Source organism: Homo sapiens, chromosome 9, assembly GCF_000001405.40.
Source record: "Homo sapiens chromosome 9, GRCh38.p14 Primary Assembly".
Taxonomy (NCBI): domain Eukaryota; kingdom Metazoa; phylum Chordata; class Mammalia; order Primates; family Hominidae; genus Homo; species Homo sapiens.
In genome coordinates, this window is record NC_000009.12 from 125854363 (window position 1) to 125876265 (window position 21903).

At 36.9% G+C, this 21903-nt stretch overlaps 1 protein-coding gene across 12 annotated transcripts in view; it reads left to right on the plus strand.

Annotated features, from left to right (window-relative positions):
- PBX3 (PBX homeobox 3) overlaps positions 1 to 21903 on the plus strand; it is a 220005-nt gene that overhangs the window by 106990 nt on the left and 91112 nt on the right. The gene's annotated exons all lie outside the window — the stretch shown is intronic.

Here is a 21903-nt window from a genome sequence, read left to right on the forward strand (position 1 = left end):
GAGCTCAAGCGATCTTCCTGCCTCTGCCTCTCGAATTGCTGGGATTACAAGGTGTGTGCCATCATGCGCAGCCCTAATTTATTTTTAATATTAAAAAATTTAATCTATTGGACACCCCCTGCTTCCCAAATAATTGCCCTTCAAATTGTATTTGCAGAATTGTTAGTGAAAAGGCCATTAATTGTACAAATTAACATTTCTTCTCTAGTTATCTAAATACACCTTTGTAATTTTTAGTGAATGAATGTGTTTCATTCATCTTACTCAGATAGCTTTAGCTAATTCAGTTGTCTCAGATTTTCCAAGAGACTAAAATGTCATTGCTTTCTTTCCCCATTTTCATAGTCATATTCATTTGTACTTAAGACTTATAAGCATTGCAATCATTGTCATTTAGGACAATTGAAAGGGAACTTGGGTTGAAAGAGTTTGTGTTTTGGTTATCAAGTTGCCATGGGTTCCAAACTCCCAGTTTTGCTATTTATTACAGTTATGGCTTTAAACTAGTTACTGGACTTTTCTGAGATTTGGTTTTCTCATTATAAAAAATGTAGATAATATCTGTTTGTAAGGGTGTTATGAAAAGAGCTTGGGAAAAAGTGAGTACTCTGTAAATAGTAGATATTTTTATCATCAGTAAGCAAGATTGTATCAGCATGAGATGACTAAGTCAAATTAAGTCAGTTTAGTTTTATCTTTCTGGCTTATCTGCATGGAGTGCTCTTGACATGAATTCTGTCTTTCAATGGTTGATTCACTTCAGCCATACTGCATTATTTGCAGATCAGGAAAAGTTAGAGATCTCATCTGCAAGAACTTAAAACAAAACTAAGCAGAATGGAATCAACTTCAGTTTCATTTTAGTTGAGAATCAGTCCAAGAATGAATAACTGTAATATATTTAATTTTATAGATTGAGTTTAGGATATTTTTATTAACTTTTTTTTACAGTGACCTAGTTTTTCAGTTTCCTTATACCAAATAATTTAAAAATTATTTGTAAGTTATTTATAAATCTAGTAACATATTTACAGAATTTATACAGTACTTTAATATATTCCTATAAACTTCTTCTAATATGTAGTATTAGTGCTTCCTATTGGTATATGTTTTATTCTAATTGATCTTGACTTACTTTCTTCAAGGTAAAGATTTTTTTCTTTTTAAAAAAATTCCTTCAAATGATAAATATCCCTTCATCAAATTTTAGATGTCATGTTGACAGTATATCAAAACTATGCTTTTGCTAGGGCACATTATTACTTTTGGTTAAGTGTGTGGGTTTTGTTGTGATTTTGCTTTCATTCTAATTCTATAGGGAGAATGTGACTTTTTCCCCTGTTTGGATAGATGCATCTAGAACCAAATGAGGGCAATAAAGTCTAATAGAAAGCTTTACAGATGAAAGTTTTGTTTCTGTTTGTGCAATACCTTGTTCCCCCTTCACGTATCCTGGGAAATCATACTGATCAATAGTTCCCATTTCAGTACAACTGCAGCAAGCATTACAACTGTATAAAATTTACAACATTGTCTGCTGTAAATTTTAATTGGAAAAACCTTATAGCTTTGCACTCTATCTTTGGAGGTTTAAATCTATATGATTTTTTTAAATAAAAAAATTTACAACATAATATCATGTCATACAATTTTTATGGACATATAATATAAATAGGCCCAAACCATAGCCTTATTGGAAAAAAATAACTATAAAAATATATTTTAATGCTTAGTGCATTAAACATTTTTGCTATAGAAACAATGGACTTGGTAAAGTAATTTAATGAATGTCATAAATACGAACAATCTCAGATGAGAGATATTAACAAATAAATATATTAATAAAAGATATATTATCTGGTTTCTCTGTGTCCCAAGTGGGGCCTCTTTTTGAATCAATGTAAAATACTCTGTATAGAGCTAGTGTTCTGAACTGGAAGAGTATGAGAAAAATGTTGCTTTCTGCGCTGCTTTATTTCTGTCACAGGTCAGGCTTAAAATGCTGTGTGATACAGTTATTGACTCTAATCTGGGCATAAACACAAGTCCTCAAGCACCAGCCCAATTAATAATTTGCATAATTAACACGCATATTAAATAGGGACTGGCCTTGCATCTGTATTTGCAGTGATCGGGGTAATGAGGGCTAACGGAGCGGCGCCTCGGGCCTGGGTTAGCAGACGTGTGGCAGTAGTAATTTTTGCTTGGATTGACAACTGCTAGACAAGCAGTCCCAGCATAAAACTAAACCCCGTTTGGCAGTATTAATCGTTGACAAACTGCTCTTAAAGCTGTAACATTGTTTCTGTCAGTTGTTTGGTTTGATGTCACTGTTAGACATAATAAATCAATAGTGTCAGAATTTGGGAATGTTTGTAGCTAGCAATGTTTATTATTTCATATGACTGTCATGTACAAATAGTGGTTATCATGGTTGCCTCTAAATTATCAAAGACAGAATATTGCTTTGAATATACTTCTGTAATTCTTGTTTCAATGAATTCTTTGCCATCTGGAAATGCTTTTGGTTGGTATGCCTGCCCAATTCTATTGTAATATTCATTGTAATATTGGTGCCATATGTCCTGTTCCATGATTTTTAAAGGAATATACAGTTTAATTTCTTGAAAGTTCATTTAGCTATAAATGAAGAAGATATACCTAGCTTATTCAGCTTTATCTTCATTCAGAAATTGATATTAAATATGTGTGATAGAGTGCAAGCATACTGTGTTTCTTCACAATAGGATTTGAATTTCAGGGGATTTAAACTATATATAGGAAGGAAATATATCGTTGGCACTTATTGTTTATAGAGAAAGTACAGGCTGAGTATCCCTTATACAAAGTGCTTGGGACCAGAAGTATTTTTGGAGTTTGAATTTCTTCAGATATTGGAATATTTGTGTTACTGGTTCAGAATCCCTAATCTAAAAATCTGAAACCCAAAATGCTCCAGTGAGCATTTTGTTTGAGGGTCATGTCAATACACAAGAAGTTTTGGATTTTGGAGCATTTCGAATTTCAGATTTTTGGATTAGGGATTCTCAACTTGTATTCAGGATGCAGATAAGTCCCTTCTCTCCCCATTCTTCCCTTCTACTCTCTCATTTCTCCAAAAGCTTTAGGTAACCATTTACATATAATCCCTCTCTCCCATCTGACCCCCAGTACTACATATTTTAAGACTTTTCTTCATTTAGACTTCAAAAACATTTCTTTAAAACTTACCTCAAGAAGTGATATTATCTTTATTGTTATTCCATTAAAAGCCACTCCTATTTACAGTATTTTTGGTGGAACAGAATTTTACATGTGAAATTACTAGCTATACATGAAAATGTTTATTATATAGCTATAACATGTTCATGATAAACTGTAGTAAAATAATAAAGCCTATTTTCAATTACTTAGGAAGAATTTTGGATCTTTCTGCATAGCATTTTGATGTTTCAAGTAAAAGTGTATGTAAACACATTATATGTGAATCAGGGGATTTTATGACCTGCCAAAATCTTTTCTTTAGCAAACAAGTAGGCACTTTTAAATTATGAGCATAAGAAGTGCATTAGTTTTAAAAAGATGTAGTCAATTGGAGTAAGGCTGCCCTTAGCTTGTCATAAGAATATTTTCACCTAAAAGAGGCCATGCATAAATTCAGAAAATTATTAGAGTCCATAGGTAGAAAAACATGAAATTATGAGCATTAACAGCATTAAGGCTGGGTGTGGTGGCTCACTCCTATAATCCCAGCACTTTGGGAGGCCAAAGCGGGAGGATCACATGAGCCTAGGAGTTCAAGACCAGCCTGGGCAATATAGGGAGACCCCATCACTAGAAAAAAATTAAAAAATTATCTGAGCGTAGTGTTGCATGCTTGTAGTCCTAGCTACTTGGGAGGCTGAAGAGCATTTAGTAAGGCATTTGATGAAAAGCAAGTGTGGTCTGCTCATTATACCTCTCGTTTGTATATTGTTATGCTATAATTTTAAAGCTTATTTCCCATTTATTGTATATCTGTACATGTGCATATCGTATACATATGATAGCATAATGCTAAATGGCAGCCATATGTAAAAGGTAACAAGGGGATTTTCAGGATATAAATGAAATGTCGTAAGTAATATGACTGTTTCTTAAAAATCAATACACTGGAATCAGTGAATTTAAATGAATGGGGTTCCATTCAAAAGTGGTATTTCCAGAAAGTAAATGCATATTTCACTTTTGGGGACCCTACTTTTGAAAGACTTTGGTCCATTTTTTTTTTTTTTTTTTTCAAGATGAAGTTTCACTCTTGTTGCCCAGGCTGGAGTGCAATGGCACGATCTCGGCTCACTGCAACCTCCGCCTCCTGGGTTCAAGCTATTCTCCTGCCTCAGCCTCCCGAGTAGCTGAGATTACAGGCACCTGCCACCATGCCCGGCTAATTTTTGTATTTTTAGTAGAGACAGGGTTTCACCACGTTAGCCAGGCTGGTCTTGAACTCCGGATGTCAGGCAATCCACCATCCTTTGCCTTGCAAAGTGCTAGGATTACAGGCATGAGCCACCGCGCCTGGCCAACTTTGGCCCATTCTTTTAATTATCTTTAATAGTGGTAAATATAAAATGAATAGCTAGAGATAGTAGTAAGTTAAATGAGGTTGCGTGACTACAGCTTCTGCCCATAGACAAGTCTAAGGCCTGTGCATGTTTACAGGGAGAGGTCAGGTGGCCCACAGAGGGTGATGGAGATTTCTAGAGTAGGAGAAACGATAGTATAGGCCAGGATCAGGGAGGTGATGAGATAAGAGAAAATAGTTAGATTGCTTTTCATCTTTCAGGTCTCAGCTTAAATGTCACCTCTTTGAAAGGACTTTTTTAATTGATTTTGCTAAAGTCGGTCTTCCCTGTTATTTTTGGGCTCTGTCCTTCATAGCATTTATCATAACTTGTTTATTATTGTTTTTTGTCAAGGCCCATGAAAGTAGGGACCTTATCCCTTCTTTTGCCATTGATATGCTTCAGAGGGAAGGCAATGAAGAACATTGCTACTGCAAGGCCTCCAATGGGTGGGACTGCAAACTTGAGGAAGGGACTTCATATTTCTTTAACATGGACTTTATGCTTATGTTTGGTGCTTTTTGTTCTCTTGTCTTCTTAGAATAGCCTTATCAGGCAGTTATTAATGTTTCCATTTTATAGATGAGAAAACTGAGGCTCAGAGAAGTGACGTGACACAGCCAGTAAGCAGCTGAGCTGACATTTGAATTTGGAGCTTTGTAATTTCAAAACCCACAGGATACCACATGATCCATGCTCTGTGGAATTTGTTGGTGTGGTCAGTGTAAAAGGTGATCAATAGATATGTAATGGAATTCCTAGACAGTATTGGGTATTTGGTTACAATTGTATGACATGCATTTATAGCAGATCTGGTCTTCAAGGTTTTGCTAATTTCTCTATCGGTGTTTCCTAATATAAGCATAAAGACAATGAAAATGTGTGTTATCAGTAAAGATAGGGTTGGTGAGCTCTTCTTATATAGGGTTGGCCTATTGCCTCTCCGGTGCTCAAATGGAAGTAGCTATGTACTGTCCTTGAGGGAACTGAAAAAACACTCACTCAAATAATTTTCTGTTGGGCTTAAATCTCCTATGGGACCCCAGCTGAGAAAGGCTGAGTTAGTTTATGCCACTGTAACAAACAACCTCCAAATCTTTATGGCATTAAAACAGCAGTTTATTTCTCATACCATATTCATTGTGGATCTGTATGTGGCTCCGCTCATTGTAGTCACACAGGAATCCAGGCTAATGAATTAGCCACCATCTCTCAAACATTGCCAGTTGTCCTCCCATAAGTAAAGCAACTTCTGGATGTTTTATCTGGTCAGCATTTAAAGGATATGGCTTACAAGTAACAAATGTTCATAATTCTTGCTCACAAGTCTTTCTCTCAAAGTCATGTGGCCAACCCCAAGGGGACAGGTAGTATATATGAACTTAGCATGTGCCCAGAGGGAGAGGAGAGTTGGATATCAGTAAATGGTATGAATGACAATCACAATTAGCACAGTAGAAAACTAAAGAACTCTAGGTAGCCAGTGAAGGGTAGTGCTGCAGTGATTGTATTTGGATAGTTGTAAAATCTAATGGCCAACCAAATATGTGTTAGTGTAATGGGGAAATTGGGTAAGAAATTCCAGTGAATAAAGATTATTGTTCACATATTCTGGTGAGCACATTTAAAGATGTTCACCATTGGCCAGGTGCGGTGGCTCATGCTTATAATCCCAGCACTTTGAGAGGCTGAGGCAGGCAGATCACCTGAGGTTAGGAGTTCAAGACCAGCCTGGCCAACATGGTGAAACCCTGTCTCTACTAAAAATGCAAAAATTAGGCATGTTGGCAGGCACCTGTAGTCGTAGCTACTTGGGAGGCTGAGGCAGGAGAATCACGTGAACCCAGGAGGCAGAGGTTGCAGTGAGCTGAGATCGTGCAACTGTGCTCCAGCCTGGGTGACAGAATAAGACTCTGTCAAAAAAAAAAAAAAAAAAAAAGATATTCAACATTATTAGTCATCAGGAAAATGCAAATTAAAAGTTCAACAAGTTACCACTTTACACTTACTAGGATGATTATAATGAAAAAGGCAGGCCAGGCATGGTGGCTCATCATGCCTATAATCCCAGCACTTTGGGAGGCAGAGGCAGGAGGATCACTTGAACCCAGAAGTCTGAGCCCAGCCTGGGCAACATGGTGAAACCTGGTCTCTACTCCCCTCCCTCCCACAAAAAAAATTAATCCAGTGTAATGGCACATGTCTGTGGTCCTAGCTACCCGGGAGGTTGAGGTGGGAGAATCACTTGACCCCAGGAGGTTGAGGCTGCAAGCAGTGAGCCGTGATTGAGCCACTGTACTCCAGCCTGGGTGATAAAGTGAGACCCTGTCTCCAAATAATAATAATAATAATAATAATGATAAAAGAGCAGATAATAACAAGTGTTGGTGAAGATGTGTAGAATTTGAAATCCTCCTACACAGCTGGTGGGAAAGGAAAATGGAAAATAGTCTGTCAGTTCTTCCAAAGGCTAACTGTATAATTACCATATGACCCAGCAATTTTATGCCTAGGTATATACCCAAGAGAAATGAAAATATATCTGCAGAAAAAAAATCACAGATGTTCATAGCAGCATTACTCATAATAGCCAAGAAATAAAACAACCCAAACTGATTAATGGATAAACAAATTATGGTATATCCATACAATGGAATATTATTCAGCCATAGCAAGGAATGAAGTATTGATACATGCTACAACATGTATGAACCTTGCCAACATTTTGTCAAGTGAGAGAAACCATTTATCAAGGACCACATATTGTAAGATTACATTTATATGAAATGTCCTGAAAAGGCAAATCTAATAGAGAAAGAAAGTAGATTAGTGGTTGCCAGGGACTGAAGCAAGGGACATAGGGTGATGAGGAGTGACTAATGGGGAATTTTGAGAGAGGGTGATGAAAATGTTGGAAAATGATTGTGATTGTTGCACAACTCTGTGAATATACTGAAAACTATTGAATTGTATACTTTAGGTATATTGTATAATAAGTGAATTGTATCTCAACAAAGTTTTTATAAAAAATAGCCTGGGGGAATATAAGGAGACATATCATTTCATTGATACTAAAATGCACTTTAAATAAACATTTTCACATTTCTGAAATCAGGATGCCTTTTACAGACAATGGTGTCTTAACAGTTGCTGCCAGCCAGTTGGTAGTCTTGTTGTGGTTGCATTGCCTGTGTATACAAGAACTTGGTGTTTTTCCTGGTGGCGTTACTAGGTATATGTAGCCTCTTGATGTTTCAGTCAACAAACCATTTGATGACTGTTGCCTGGTTGTGCTTGAAAACCTTCTTGTGACATATGGTAAGAGCAACCAGCATCAAAATTTCTTACATATGGTAAGAACACCAGCATCAAAATTTATGGAATGAGTATCAGTGGCTTGGAAGAAAATTAATAGTGGAGTACTTTTTTTTGTTTGTTTGAGACGGAGTTTCACTGTGTTGCCAGGCTGGAGTGCAGTGGCACAATCTCGGCTCACTACAATCTCCACCTCCTAGGTTCAAGCAATTCTCCTGCCTCAGCCTCCTAAGTAGCTAGGATTGCAGGAGTGTGCCACCACACCCAGCTAATTTTTGTATTTTTAGTAGAGACGGGGTTTCACCATGTTGGCCAGGATGATCTCGATCTCCTGACCTCGTGATCAGCCCGCCTTGGACTCCCAAAGTGCTGGGATTACAGGTGTGAGCCACTGCCCCTGGCCAGTGGTGGAGTACTTTTTAAGAAATGCTGTATCACCAACATTCTTGATTACACAAAGGATGATATTGTATGGAAACATGGACATTGAGAACTCTGAGTCAATAAATGTTTCAGAAGAGTCAGATTTGAATGTGAATTACTTTTAGGACTGTATTAAATTTATTTTGTATGTATTTTTCTTTTCATGTGTGTACAAGAGTGATGTATGATTTTTATTTTATTTTATTTTGAGACATGGCCTCACTCTGTCGCCCAGGCTGGAGTGCAGTGGCGTGATCTTGGCTCACTGCTGCAACCTCTGCCTCCTGGGCTTTAGTGATCCTCCCACCTCAGCCTCCTGAGTAGCTGGGACTACAGGCACATGCCACTACACCTAGCTAATTTTTGTATTTTTTGTAGAGATGAGGTCTTGCTTTGTTGGCCAGGCTGGTCTTGAACTCCTGGGTTCCAGTGATCTGCTTGCTTCTGCCTCCCAAAGTGCTGGAATTACAGGCATGAGCCACTGTGCCTGGCTGACACATGACATGATTTTTTTTTTTTTTTGAGACGGAGTCTCTGTCACCAAGCTGGAGTGCAGTGGTGTGATCTCAGATCACTGTAACCTCTGCCTCCCAGGTTCAAGCGATTCTCCTGCTTCAGCCTCCTGAGTAGCTGGGACTACAGGTGCTTGCCACCACACTCAGCTATTTCTTTGTTTTTTGTATTTTTAGTAGAGATGGGGTTTCACCATGTTGGCCAGGATTGTCTCGATCTCTTGACCTTGTGATCTGCCCACCTTGGCCTCCCAAAGTGCTGGGATTACAGGCGTGAGCCACCATGTCTGGCCCTGACATATGATTTTTAAAATTGGTGTTTAAAAAGTCTAAAAGGCCTTTTCAGTAAGTATAGTAGATACTTTCTAAGAGTTAAGAAACATTGTACCCTAGTGTAATTGACAGAGTTTAGATTCTATGAAATGCTATAGTAACAGGTTAATACATTGTGGGAAGATTAGATGAAGTGATGAAGAAACACCTAAGAAACCAGCATTTCTTATCACTGGTTACTAGATGTTTCTTCATCACTCTTTTTTTCTATCTCACACAATTTTCCCTGTTCTTAATACTTAGCTTTGCCCCGTGTTTTTATTTCCTTCTCTTTTTACTAATCATACCTGAGCAATTTTTTTTCTAATTATGTAATTCCCCAGTTAAGAACCTTTTAGTTCCAAAGTGGGTGTTATTCTTGAAATTTGAGAAGCCCCTGTCTCCTTAGAGAAGCCCCTGTCTCCTTAGAGAAGCAGGCAACGATGGGGAGAATGGCTTATAAGCCAGTAGAGGGTGTTCCAAAGTGTGTTCCATGGAACAATTGAAGGATAATGAGGAAGGAGAATAAACTGTCCAGGGTCAGAGTGAACTTGAGAAATGCTAGACTAAACAGAATATTGCAGAACTTCTCAGAGCATTTAAAATGATGATATACTTTGGGATTCCCCATGAGAGTAATATAATAGGCAGCATTTCTTAAAATTTTGTGACTTGGAACCATTAAAAGAAAATCTGATTAGTATCCTGAGGGACCAGCATCAAGATAACACACTCTTTTTGAGAAGAATTTTGGGAGTCAATTATTAGAGTGTACTGCCTGGCTGTCCAGCATCTCCTAGATCAGCACTCCCCAACGTTTTTGGCACTAGGGAGTGGTTTCATGGAAGACAATTTTTCCATGAATGGGGGTGGGGGAGGATGGTTTCAGGATGATTCAAGTGCATTACATTTATTGTGCACTTTATTTCTATTATTATTACATTGTAATATATAATGAAATAATTACACAACTTACCATAATGTAGAATCAGTGGGAGCCCTGACTTTGTTTTCCTTCAACTAGACGGTCCTATCTGGGGATGATGGGAAACAGGGACAGATTATCAGGCATTAGATTCTTGTAAGGAGCGTGCAACTTGGATCCCTTGCATGCACAGATCACAATAGGGTTCATGGTCCTGTGAGAATCTAATGCCTCTGCTGATCTGACAGGAAGCGGAACTCAGGTGGTAATGCGATGGGGAGTGGCTATAAATACAGATAAAGCTTTGCTTGCTTGCCCGTCGCTCACCTCTTGCCATAGGGCCTGGTTTCCAACAGGCCGTGAACCAGCACCGGTCCGTGACTTGGGGATTGGGGACTGCTGTCCTAGATTATAGAAGACACAGATAGGAAAGGCATGAGGTGTTGTCTGGTATAAACATCTTGTTTAGAAATGGGAAAATTGAGTCTCAGAGAAATAGGCGACTTGTCTGTGCTCATATAGCTCATTTTGTCTTTTATTTTTATCAGTTGTGCATGCATAACATAAAGACTAACATTTATTGTGCCTGGCGCTGTTCGGATTACTTCCTATGTATTCATCCACATGACAAGCTGGGTAACTTGTGGCCATGCCACATCAGTATTTAAATCTACACTTTCTAGAAAGCTCTGGAATCTTCATGGAGAGAACTCCTTTGGATTGGTTGATTTCATAATTGTGAGGAAAAATGATTTTCTATATGGCCAGAGGGCTCAAGGAAACTTCAGTACTTTTTTCTACGAAGAGGTCTTATTTCTTGTTTCCTGGAGAATAAGTCAGGAGCAATTACATGTGAGTATGTTCTTATATTAGGCCTAAATCATGTGTCTTTGTGAAAAGAAATTCAGTAATCTGAGAGAAAATAATTGTGTTTCTTAGGGAATTTCTGTAGTATCTTTTTGACTATATTTGTTCTAAATTATAGATTGTGGCCTTATCTGCAGTGCTTCATTAGATAGATGAAAATATAAGTTTCTTTCCATAATAATTTCTGTTTAGTATGATTTATAAAATTATTATTACTATGTTTTAACAGTAATCTGGATGTTTCTGGTCTCTCTAAATGAGCATGGACTCCATTCCTATAGCCCCAATGGGAATTTCAGTAATAAGGAAGAACAGATCTGATTGTTTTTGCATAACATTTCCCTTTTCAAAAGACCCCAAAGCTCCTTATAAATGGAAGGATGGTGTCACCTGTCTGGAGCACTAAACTCATTTAAGTCAAACCTATTATAAAAAAGCTAAGGATTAGAAGAGACAAAGATTATGTAGTTTTACCTGTAGAAGAATATGAAATTGTCATTAGCCTATAGCCTGTTTTCATAAGTGGTTGATGTGAGAAGACCTCTGAGAATCATGTAATTAAGTTAGGCTGGGTAATGTGTCAGGACAAAGTGTGTTATATGTAGCTTACCTGCTTGCGTGCCTTCCCTGTTTTTCCCCCAATTTTTTTCCCCCCACAAAAGAAAATAGCTTTTTTTTTTTTTGGATTATAAAAGAGTCTTTGCTAGCTGTTAAAATATTTAAAAAACATTGAAAAGTGTTTGAAAAAAGCAACGGTCACATAAATCCCATTGCTCAGAGATTACCACTCTTCTAAATAGTGCTAAACACATATATATTAATTTTCAAAAGTGAGTTAACTATGCTGTTGTGTAGCTGGCATCTTTCACTGAATAGTATATTGTGGATATCTTTCCATGTTAGCAAGTCATTCTATGTCATCATCTTTACTTGGCTGCATAATATTCCATGTTGCCTTTTTTGTCAGTTTTGTCACATACTGTGTATTTGCTTGAATCACAATTAAATATCTGTATAGTTATTTTATACTTTTATGGGGGGTTAGTTTAAAATATGGCATTATTCTAACTAGAAGTGAAATCATTAATTATTTACTGGTGCTTATTGTGTGTTAATCTCATTCTTTGCACTTAACTATCTGCTGCCCTTGTGGGGTTTACATTCTAGTGGAAAGAGAGGTAACATTATAGAACAGGTTAAAAAAGATGAACAAAGACATCTCTCTGCCTAGATTGTAAGAGGGAAACAAAGAAACAATCATCATGGCTATTTTATTAGAGGAATGAGAAAGGACCAGAGGCCTCTGTATGTGTCCGGGGAGGTTTACAGATTCATGGTTTTTCAGCTTCTATATCTCGTTTCTAGCTAACAGGGCTATCCTTTGTTCTAAAATGGCAGATGTTATTTGTAACTTTGTTTTAAAATAGCATAATATTTCTGCTTAAAAAATTTCAAAAATGTCAACAATGATTTTTCTTGAAAGTGTTAATATTCCTTCTTGACAGTATCCAAAGCTATACTTTGGTGATTTCCATGGTACCTCAATACTGAATTTGATTACTCTTTGATTAGGCAACTAAATTTTTTGTCTTACTTGCTTTTTTCACCCCTAAGTCATCCATAAAGACGTGATTTTCATGGTTGTGTTAGGTAAACATAAGTTGTACTACATATGTGTAATTACAAAGCAATTGTAATGGCAAATCTAGGGTCTTGTGACATCTGTTAGTAGGGATCTTCTTATCATATCCCTCAGTGATCATTTGACAAAAATAATACCATGAAGGGATTTCAAAGGAAGCTTGAGAAGTGTAGTTTAACAAGCACACAAATGATGCATTTCACCCTACATTGATGTCGTTAGGACCATTCACCATAGATGTGTCCCCGGTCCTCCCTGAAGTATTAAAAAAAAAAAATCAATTATTTGAATAAAAGAATAGAAGCCATGGGTAATACATTTTTAGATGTTTGAATTTTTAAATGTTGCTGGAGGAATAACTATTCAAGTGTAAAACCATGACTCTAAAAAACAAAATTGTTGGGTGTGGTGGCCCACACCTGTAATCCCAGCACTTTGGGAGGCCAAGGCGGGTGGATCATGAGGTCAGGAGTTCGAGACCAGCCTGGCCAACATAGTGAAACCCCATCTGTACTAAAAATACAAAAATTAGCTGGGCATGGAGGTGCGCACCTGTAATGCCAGCTACTCAGGAGGCTGAGGCAGGAGAATCACTTGAATGCGGGAGGTGGAGGTTGCAGTGAGCCGAGATGGCACCACTGCACTCCAATCTGGGCAACAAGAGCAAGACTCCATCTCAAAAAAAAAAAAAAAAACCACAAAAACAAACAAAACAAAATTTAGTAGATTATAATATTGCACCCAAATCAATTATGACAATGATGATTGTCTTTCTGTCTCTCTCTCTCTCTATATATATATACACACACATATATACACACATATACACACACATATATATACACATATATATATACACATACATATATATATACACACACACACATACATATATTTGTTTTGTTTTGCTTTTGTTTTGTTTTTTTGTTTTGAGACAAGGTCTTGTTTTGTTTCCCAGGCTGGAGTGCAGTGACACAGTCATGATTCACTGCAACCCTGACCTCCTGGTCTCAAGCTAGCCTCCCACCTCAGCCTTCCCAGTAGCTGGGACCACAGGTGTATGCCTCCACGCCTGGTAATTTTCATATTTTTTGTAGAGACAGGGTCTCACAATGTTGTCCAGGCTGGTCTCAAACTCCTTAACTCAAGTGATCTGGTCAACTCGGCCTTCCAAAGTGCTGGGATTACAGGTCTGAGCCACTACACCCAGACTGCAGTTTTTTTTTTTTACATGCTTCCTGTGTTCTAGGCACTGTGCCAAGCACTTTGTATGAATTTATTCATGTAGTTTTCATAAGAACCCTATGAGTAGGTACTGTTATACCCATTTTATAAAGAAAACGAAAACCAGAGATGTTACATTGATTTTATTTACATTTGAAAATAGATTGTAGTTCAGTTTCTAGCCATATGGGTAGATTGAATGTGCAGAAAAACCTCACCTGGCATAGAACACTTAAACATGCTGGCTGTACAGTAAAGAACTTCATTTCCAAAGCATGGCTGAGCCAGCGTAGTGAAGTAAGACATAATGTGGGCCAGAAGAAAGGACAGAGAGTGATTCCACAGATATGAGAGCTGGCATTTATTCCAGGGGCGTGGAGTAGGGGGTGTCTGTCAGTGCTGACCTAGAATGTAGGTTTTGAAGGCATATGTGCAGCTTAAGAAACAAAATCAGAGCTCTTCACATAAAGCCAGAACCTCTAAAAGGAGAGTACTCTCACAGAGTGAACTTGCCCATGGCCCCAGGTGAGACAGACCTTAGCGATACCCTACATTCAGTTGATTTGGTAATGGAAATCGTATTTTCCTTATGGCCCAAGAAGGTTCATGATGAAAATTCAGTTTGAAGTGAATTGTTAGTACTCCTAGGCATCTGTAAAATGCCTGTCTTTTCTGGAGGAAAGCACTTAAAACACAGGTGTCTAAAAATTCACACAGATGAATTTTTGAGGGCCACAGGCTCACAATTAAACAATGAAGAAGCAGAAAAAAAGAAAATGCCTGAGTTAAAAAAGCCACCATGACTATGAGATAGCAGCAACATCAAACTGCAGGATCAGGCTGAGAAAGTCTGAAGATATTTGTATCATCAGGTACAGCAAATAAGGTAAGCATATTTTTTAAAAATTCAAGATTGAAAGTATGTTGAACCAAACAGGACACCATTAAAAGTAATAAGACAGATGTAAAAAGCAAAGAAAATTCTTAGAAATGGCTTAAGATGAGAATTAGCGGACAATGGATATGAAGAAATTACCTAGCATACAGTACAACAAAGAGATAGAAATATGAAAAAGATGTTAAGAGGATAGAGTAAGAAAGCCCAACAAACATTTAATTTATGGTTCCAGAAATAAAGAATTAAAAAATTGGAGAAGAAGCAATATTCAAGTAGATATTTAGCTGAGAATATGTCAGAATTGATGAAATATACTGGTATTCAAATAGGTAGCTCGGTGAATTCTAACTGGGATGAATGGGAAGATAACATCACCAAGGAGTATTATAATGAAACTGCAGAACCCAAAAGATTAAAGAAAAAACATTCTCTAAATCAGAGAAAAGAGCAACAATGAATAAACAGACAGCTAACTTCTCAGCAGGAGCAATATGAGCTAGAATCAATGAAATAATTTCAAAGTGCTAAGAGAAATTAGCTAGAATTATCAACCTAGAATTGTCTTTCCATGGAAAATACCTGGAGCATGGGCAAAATAAAGGTATCTTCAGACTCATAATTGAAAGCTTTCACTACCAATAGAATTCCACTAAAATAATTTCTAAAGGATATATTTTAAGAAAAAAACAAAAACCCTCAGAAGGAATGTCTGAGTAGCAACAATAATGAGAAAGGAAAATAGGAAATTTGTGGATGAGTATTGACCATGTAAAAATTTTTGGTAAAATTTGTGGATAAGGGTAAACCATGTGTATTAGTCCCTTTTCACGCTGCTGATAAAGACATACCTGAGACTGAGTAATTTATAAAGAAAAAGAGGTTCAGTGGACTCACAGTTCCACGTGTCTGGAGAGGCTTCACAATCATGGCGAAAGGCACATCTTTTTTTTTTTTTTTTTCTGAGACGGTCTCAGTCTGTTGCCCAGGCTGCACTATCTCAGCTCACTGAGACAGTAGCACTATCTCAGCTCACTGAGACAGTAGCACGATCTCAGCTCCCTGCAACCTCTGTCTCATGGGTTCAAGGGATTCTCCTGCCTCAGCCTTCCAAGTAGCTGGGATTGCAGGTGTGCGCCATCATGCCTGGCTAATTTTTGTGTTTTTAGTAGAGATGGGGTTTCACCATGTTGGCCAGGCTGGTCTCAAACTCCTGACCTCAAGTGATCCACCCGCCTTGGCCTCCCAAAGTGCTGGGATTACAGGTGTGAGCCACCACGCCCAGCTGAAAGACTCATCTTACATGGTGGCAGACGAGAGAATTTGTGGAAGGAAACACCCCCTTATAAAACCATCATATCAGGCTGGGTGATCTGACAGAGCTAGACACTGTCAAACAAACAAACAAACAAACAAAAAAACCCCATCACATCTCATGAGACTTATTTACTATCATGAGAGCAGCTCAGGAAACACCCACTCCCGTGATTCAGTTACATCCCACTGGGTCTGTCCCACAAATTGTGGGAGCTACAATTCAAGATGAGGTTTGGGTGGGGACACAGCCAAACCCTATCACCATGTAAAATAATATCTAATTTGTAGAGATTAAAGAACAAGATAACTTAAATCTTGGATGTAAGTTAAGAGAGTGGTGGTCAGAGTTAAATCATTTTAAGGTTCATTTATTGTCTGGACAAGAATAAAATTTTGATTATCAGGAAATACAAGTAAAACCACAGGGAGACATTGTTTATATACCAAATTGTCAAAAATTACAAAGTCTTATAATACCAAGTTTTGCTGAGGGTGTGGAGCAACAGAAACTTTTGTTCACTGGTGGGTATATAAATTGAATAATTTCAGCTTGGAACATTACCTAGCAAAATTGAAGGCATGTATACGTACATACCCTACCAATCTAGCAATTCCACTTCTAGATATAAAGTCTTGAAAAACTCACATGTATACCAGAGACGTGTAAAAAGTTGTTTAAATCATTATTGTAAACAATGGCTAAAAACTAGAAAAAATAGGCCGGATGCAGTGGCTCACGCCTGTAATCCCAGCACTTTGGGAGGCCGAGGTGGGCAGATCATGAGGTCAGGAGTTTGAGACCAGCCTGGCCAACATAGTGAAACCCCATCTCTACTAAAAATACAAAAATTAGCCAGGTGTGGTGGTGGGTGCTTGTAGTCCCAGCTATAGGCTGAGGCAGAAGAATCACTTGAACCCGGGAGGTGGAGCTGAAATTGCGCCACTGCACTCCAGTCTGGGTGACAGTGCAAGACTCCGTCTCAAAAAAAAAAAAAAAATCTAAAAAAACCCAGGTGTTCATGAATAATAAAATGGACAACAATAATGAATAGGTCAACAATGGAATATGACACAGCAATGAGTAGGAATGAACTCTTCCACATTCAAGAACATAATAGCACATGTAGAATGTTGAATGAAAGAGCAAGGTATAACAGAAAACATTATATAATTCCATTTATATAAAATTCAAACAAAGTAAGAATGAAGCTATAGTGTTAGGGCTGCATAGATGGTAATGTTATTAAAAGGACTGAAATATCTTACTGATAAATCTTTGTATTGATTATAGGTTACAATGATAATATTTCCAATATATTGGGTTAATTAAATATATTACAATTAGTTTTACTTTAAAAAAGCTTTAAAATGTGACTGCTAGAGAATTTAAAATTACATATGGGGTTCTCATTACATTTCTATGGGACAGAGCTCTAGAGGCAAAAATAGAATTGATATTGAGATAGGGCACAAAGGTGCTTCTAGGAAGGTGACAAAGTTGTATTTCTAGACCTAGGTAGTGGTTACATGGATGATGCTCTGTGGTCTTTTTCTATGTATGTGTGTAAAAATGCATCTTTCTGTGTATATATCTTATAATTTAAAAACTTGCTTTGAAATACTGATATTGAAGAAGTTTATGGGGTAACCATTAAAAAAATTAGATTGAATAGATTGTATAGCTTCCAGACTAGTAAAGTAAGAAAAATGAAATGGTAGGGGCAGAAAAAATTAGAGTAACTGATTCAATCCAAAAGAAGGCAAGAAAGGAGAAGAATAGAAGAAACAAAAGCAGGGCAAATAGAAAGTATAAAATGATTTGGGAGAAATAAATCTACATATATCTTACCACAGCACATGTTAAAGGATTTTAAAAGATTGCAAGAGAAAAAGTAAAGATTGTCAGAGGGTACTAAACAAACAAATAGGTACCAAACAAATAACAACATAAACCTGACAACACACTTATTTACAAGAGACATCCCTTATATGAAAGGGTACAGAAAAGTTGATGGTAAGATGATGGGGAAAGGTATACCAACCACTAGCAGAAGGAAAGGAATAGCTATGTGATATCAGATAAAGTAAACTTGAAAGTGAAGGCAAAAAGCATTTCTAGGTTGGGCATAGTGGTTCATGCCTGTCCAGCTGGGAATTCCAGACCAGCCTGGGCAACATAGCGAGACCCCCATCTCACAAAAAAATTTTAAAAATAGCCAGATGTGGTGGCACACACCTGTACTCCTAGCTACTCTGGAGGCTGAGGCAGGAGGATCGCTTGAGCCCAGGAATTTGAGGTTGCAGTGACCTATGATCATGCCACTGCACTCCAGCCTAGGTGAAAGAGTGAGATCTCGTCTCAAAAAAAGAAATAAAAATATAATAATAAACATTTCTAGAGATAAAGAGGGACACTATATCTTGATAAATGGTCCAATTAGACAGGAGAAGTGTAACAATACTAGATACGTAGGCTTAAAAACAGCTTCAAACTATAAAGCAAAAATTGACAGAATTTCGGCTGGGCGCGGTGGCTCACGTCTGTAATCCCAGCACTTTGGGAGACCGAGGCGGGTGGATCATGAGGTCAGGAGTTCAAGACCAGCCTGTCCAACACTGTGAAACCCCGTCTCTACTAAAAAAAATACAAAAATTAGCCAGGCGTGGTGGCAGGCACCTGTAATCCCAGCTACTCAGCAGGCTGAGGCAGGAGAAGGCGGAGGTTGCAGTGAGCCAAGATTGCGCCACTGCACTCCAGCCTGGGCGACAGAGCGAGACTCTGTCTCAAAAAAACAAAACAAAACAAAACAAAACAAAAATTGACAGAATTTCAAGGAGAAATAGATTCCTAATTGTGGGGAGATTTATCATATCCCTGTTGGCAACTGATAGAATAATCAGACAAAAATCTGTAAATATACGGAAAAATTTAATAATACAATTAACAAACTTGACTCAGTGGACATGTGGAGAATATATCACCAGCAACTATAGAATATGCATTTTTTCCTCAAGAATATGTAGGAACACTGAAAAAAACTTAACTATGAGTCAAACTTTAACAAATTGGAAAGAATCAGCATGACACATACCATATTCTCTTATGACAAAACAAGTGGTTATAAATGAACAAATGTAACTAAAAAATAAGTAATTCCTACAACATTTGGAAGTTTAAAATGTTTTCTAAATCATTCTCAAGTCAAAGAAATTGTGGAGAAATTGTCAAATTCTTTAACTGATTAAAAATGATAAAAGTATAGTTTACACCAACACTTAGGAAATATGACTAAAGCTTTATATTATTTTTAGCTTCAAATGTTTACATTATAAAGATTTTTAAAGTCTTCAAGTTAATTAGCTAAAATCCAATAGAACCTAAAAGAACAGCTAGATAAACCCAAAGGAAAATAGAAAAAAGGGAATAATAAAAACTTGAAGATGAGTTAAAGAAAAAGAAAACAAAGATACAATGGAAAGCATCAACAAAGCAAAAGTTTGTGCTTTGAAAATTTATGAAATTGACAAACCTCTGGTAAAGATTTATCAAATGCAAACAAAAAAGAAGGAAAGAAGGAAAAGATGCAGAGAAGAAGCACAAATAAATACCACTGGATCTGAAAGAAGATAAAGCATGTACAGCAGAAATTAAAAAGAAGGAATATCCTGAACACTTTGTCAATACATTTGACATCTTAGGTGAAATGAAATATTGGTAGAAATACAGAAATGAGTAAATCCTGTCTCAAGAAGATACAGAAAATGTTCGTAATCTTATAATCTTTGAATAAAACCAGTAGTTTAAAATATTGCCATAAAGAGAACATCAGGACCAGAGGATTTTTCTATGGAATTCTAAACATTCAATGAATTGATAATTTCAATTTTACACAAATTATATACCGTTGTAAACAAAAGTGTACTCTAAAACTAATTATATAACATTAATATAACCGTGATATTGAAATAGGTAACAATACAAGAAAGGAAAATGACAGGCTAGTCTTATTCACGATATAGATGGAAAAACTCAAAACAAAATGTTGCCAAAGTGAGTCCAGCAATGCATAGACATATAATATGGTTCAGCTTATGTCATTAATGTAATCTTGGGCTATCATTGGAAACATTAGTAAAGATAGAAGACTTGAACAATACTATCAATCAGCTTGACCTAATTGACAATTTAACTCTACCCAATAAGAGCAGAATATGCATTCTTTTGAAGTGCACGTGGATTATTCACTAAGATAGAATACATTAAATGAATCTGTATTAACTTAAAATTCTAAGTGTTGGCAAGAATGAGGAGCAACAGAAACTCTCATGTATTGCCAGTGGGAATATAAATTGGTACAACTATTGGAAAATAATTTGGCAAAAGCTATCAAAGTCAAAGATTGGCATACCCTATAAACTTGGAGCTCTTCTCTTAGGTAGATACCCTAGAGAAAAGTTTGCACATGTCTTTCTATAAATGTATTTGAATGTCCATAGCAGCTTTGTTTAACATAGCAAAAAAGGGCAAAACCCTGCCCAAAAGTCCATTAATTGTTCAATGAATACATAAAATGTTTTACTTTCATTCAGTTGAATACTGCACAGTCATGAAGTAATAATATGGATGGATGCTGATTTCAAAAAGCAAACACCAGGAAACTTCTGCTTCTGGCTATGACTAAAACTCCGTATCTATCTCCCTGGCCCATGCACTAGAGTTTCTTTGGGGATACATGGAACTCCTAGTGTACACACATTTTCATTTATAATAGATACTGCTAAATTGCCCTTTAGAAAAAGTAACTTACCAATTCGCATTATTCTGATTCTTCTCATTTCTTTATACATGTTTTGTTTTGTAATTGAAATAACTTTACAATTTTTTGAGCTTTTCTCATTAGTACTATAATGTAAGCACTTTCCATGTTAGCAATTTTTATGAATAATTTTATTGACTATACTGTTTGAGTGACTGTATTTTGACCTCCTTAATCATTTCCATCTTCTGGGACATTTCAGTTGTCTTTTGGTTTTCATTATTATAAATAATATAATGAACAACTTTGCAAAAAAGTATGTCTTTTGAAGGCTCATTAAGGCTAACTAGGTAGGGAAGGGAAGGACGTTCTACTTTAAGAGAACGAGTGCAGAGATTTGAAAAAATTGGCATTTGGGTGGCACTCAGTAAATGATTATTCTGATAACCTACCAACTAGAATTCTTGGTTCTAGTTCTTGGTTCAATCTTCCTGACCTTCTGCCGCCACCTCGCTTTTCTAATATAACTTCCTACGATACTGCTTATATCATGCTACTCAAACATTTAATTATTCCCCCCCACCTGTAGGATGAAGTTCAAACTCTCTAGTCTGGAATTTTTTGCTATTTATAAATTGGCTTTTTATTCTTTTGTTCATTCAACCACCATTTATTGTGTACTAACTATATGCCAGATGCTGGTGATAGTTACAAATTAGAAACAAGAAGATGCATGCTTATAGGATTTTGAAGAAAAGCATCTAAGAAGACCTCAACCCAGTTTCAAGATTCAGAGAAGGCATAGCTTCTCACACTCCCTTATGTCCTTTTGTCCTTGTCAGACTGGTCTACTTTCTTTCCTTAAGGACAATTCATTTCTGCCTTACAGTTCAATAATAATACAAAAAAATTCCTCATATCATTTTCTGTAGTATGCTTTAAATGTATATCATGTTTTATGGCTCCCCTTTAACTAATATGCTGTGTGCTTCCTTTAGGATGCCTTCCTCCTCTAAATCATAAAACTTATTTTTTGTATCACTCATTTGGCTTTTACTTATTTCCCACTTATACTGTTTAATGACAGTTATTTAAGAATGGAATTAAAGA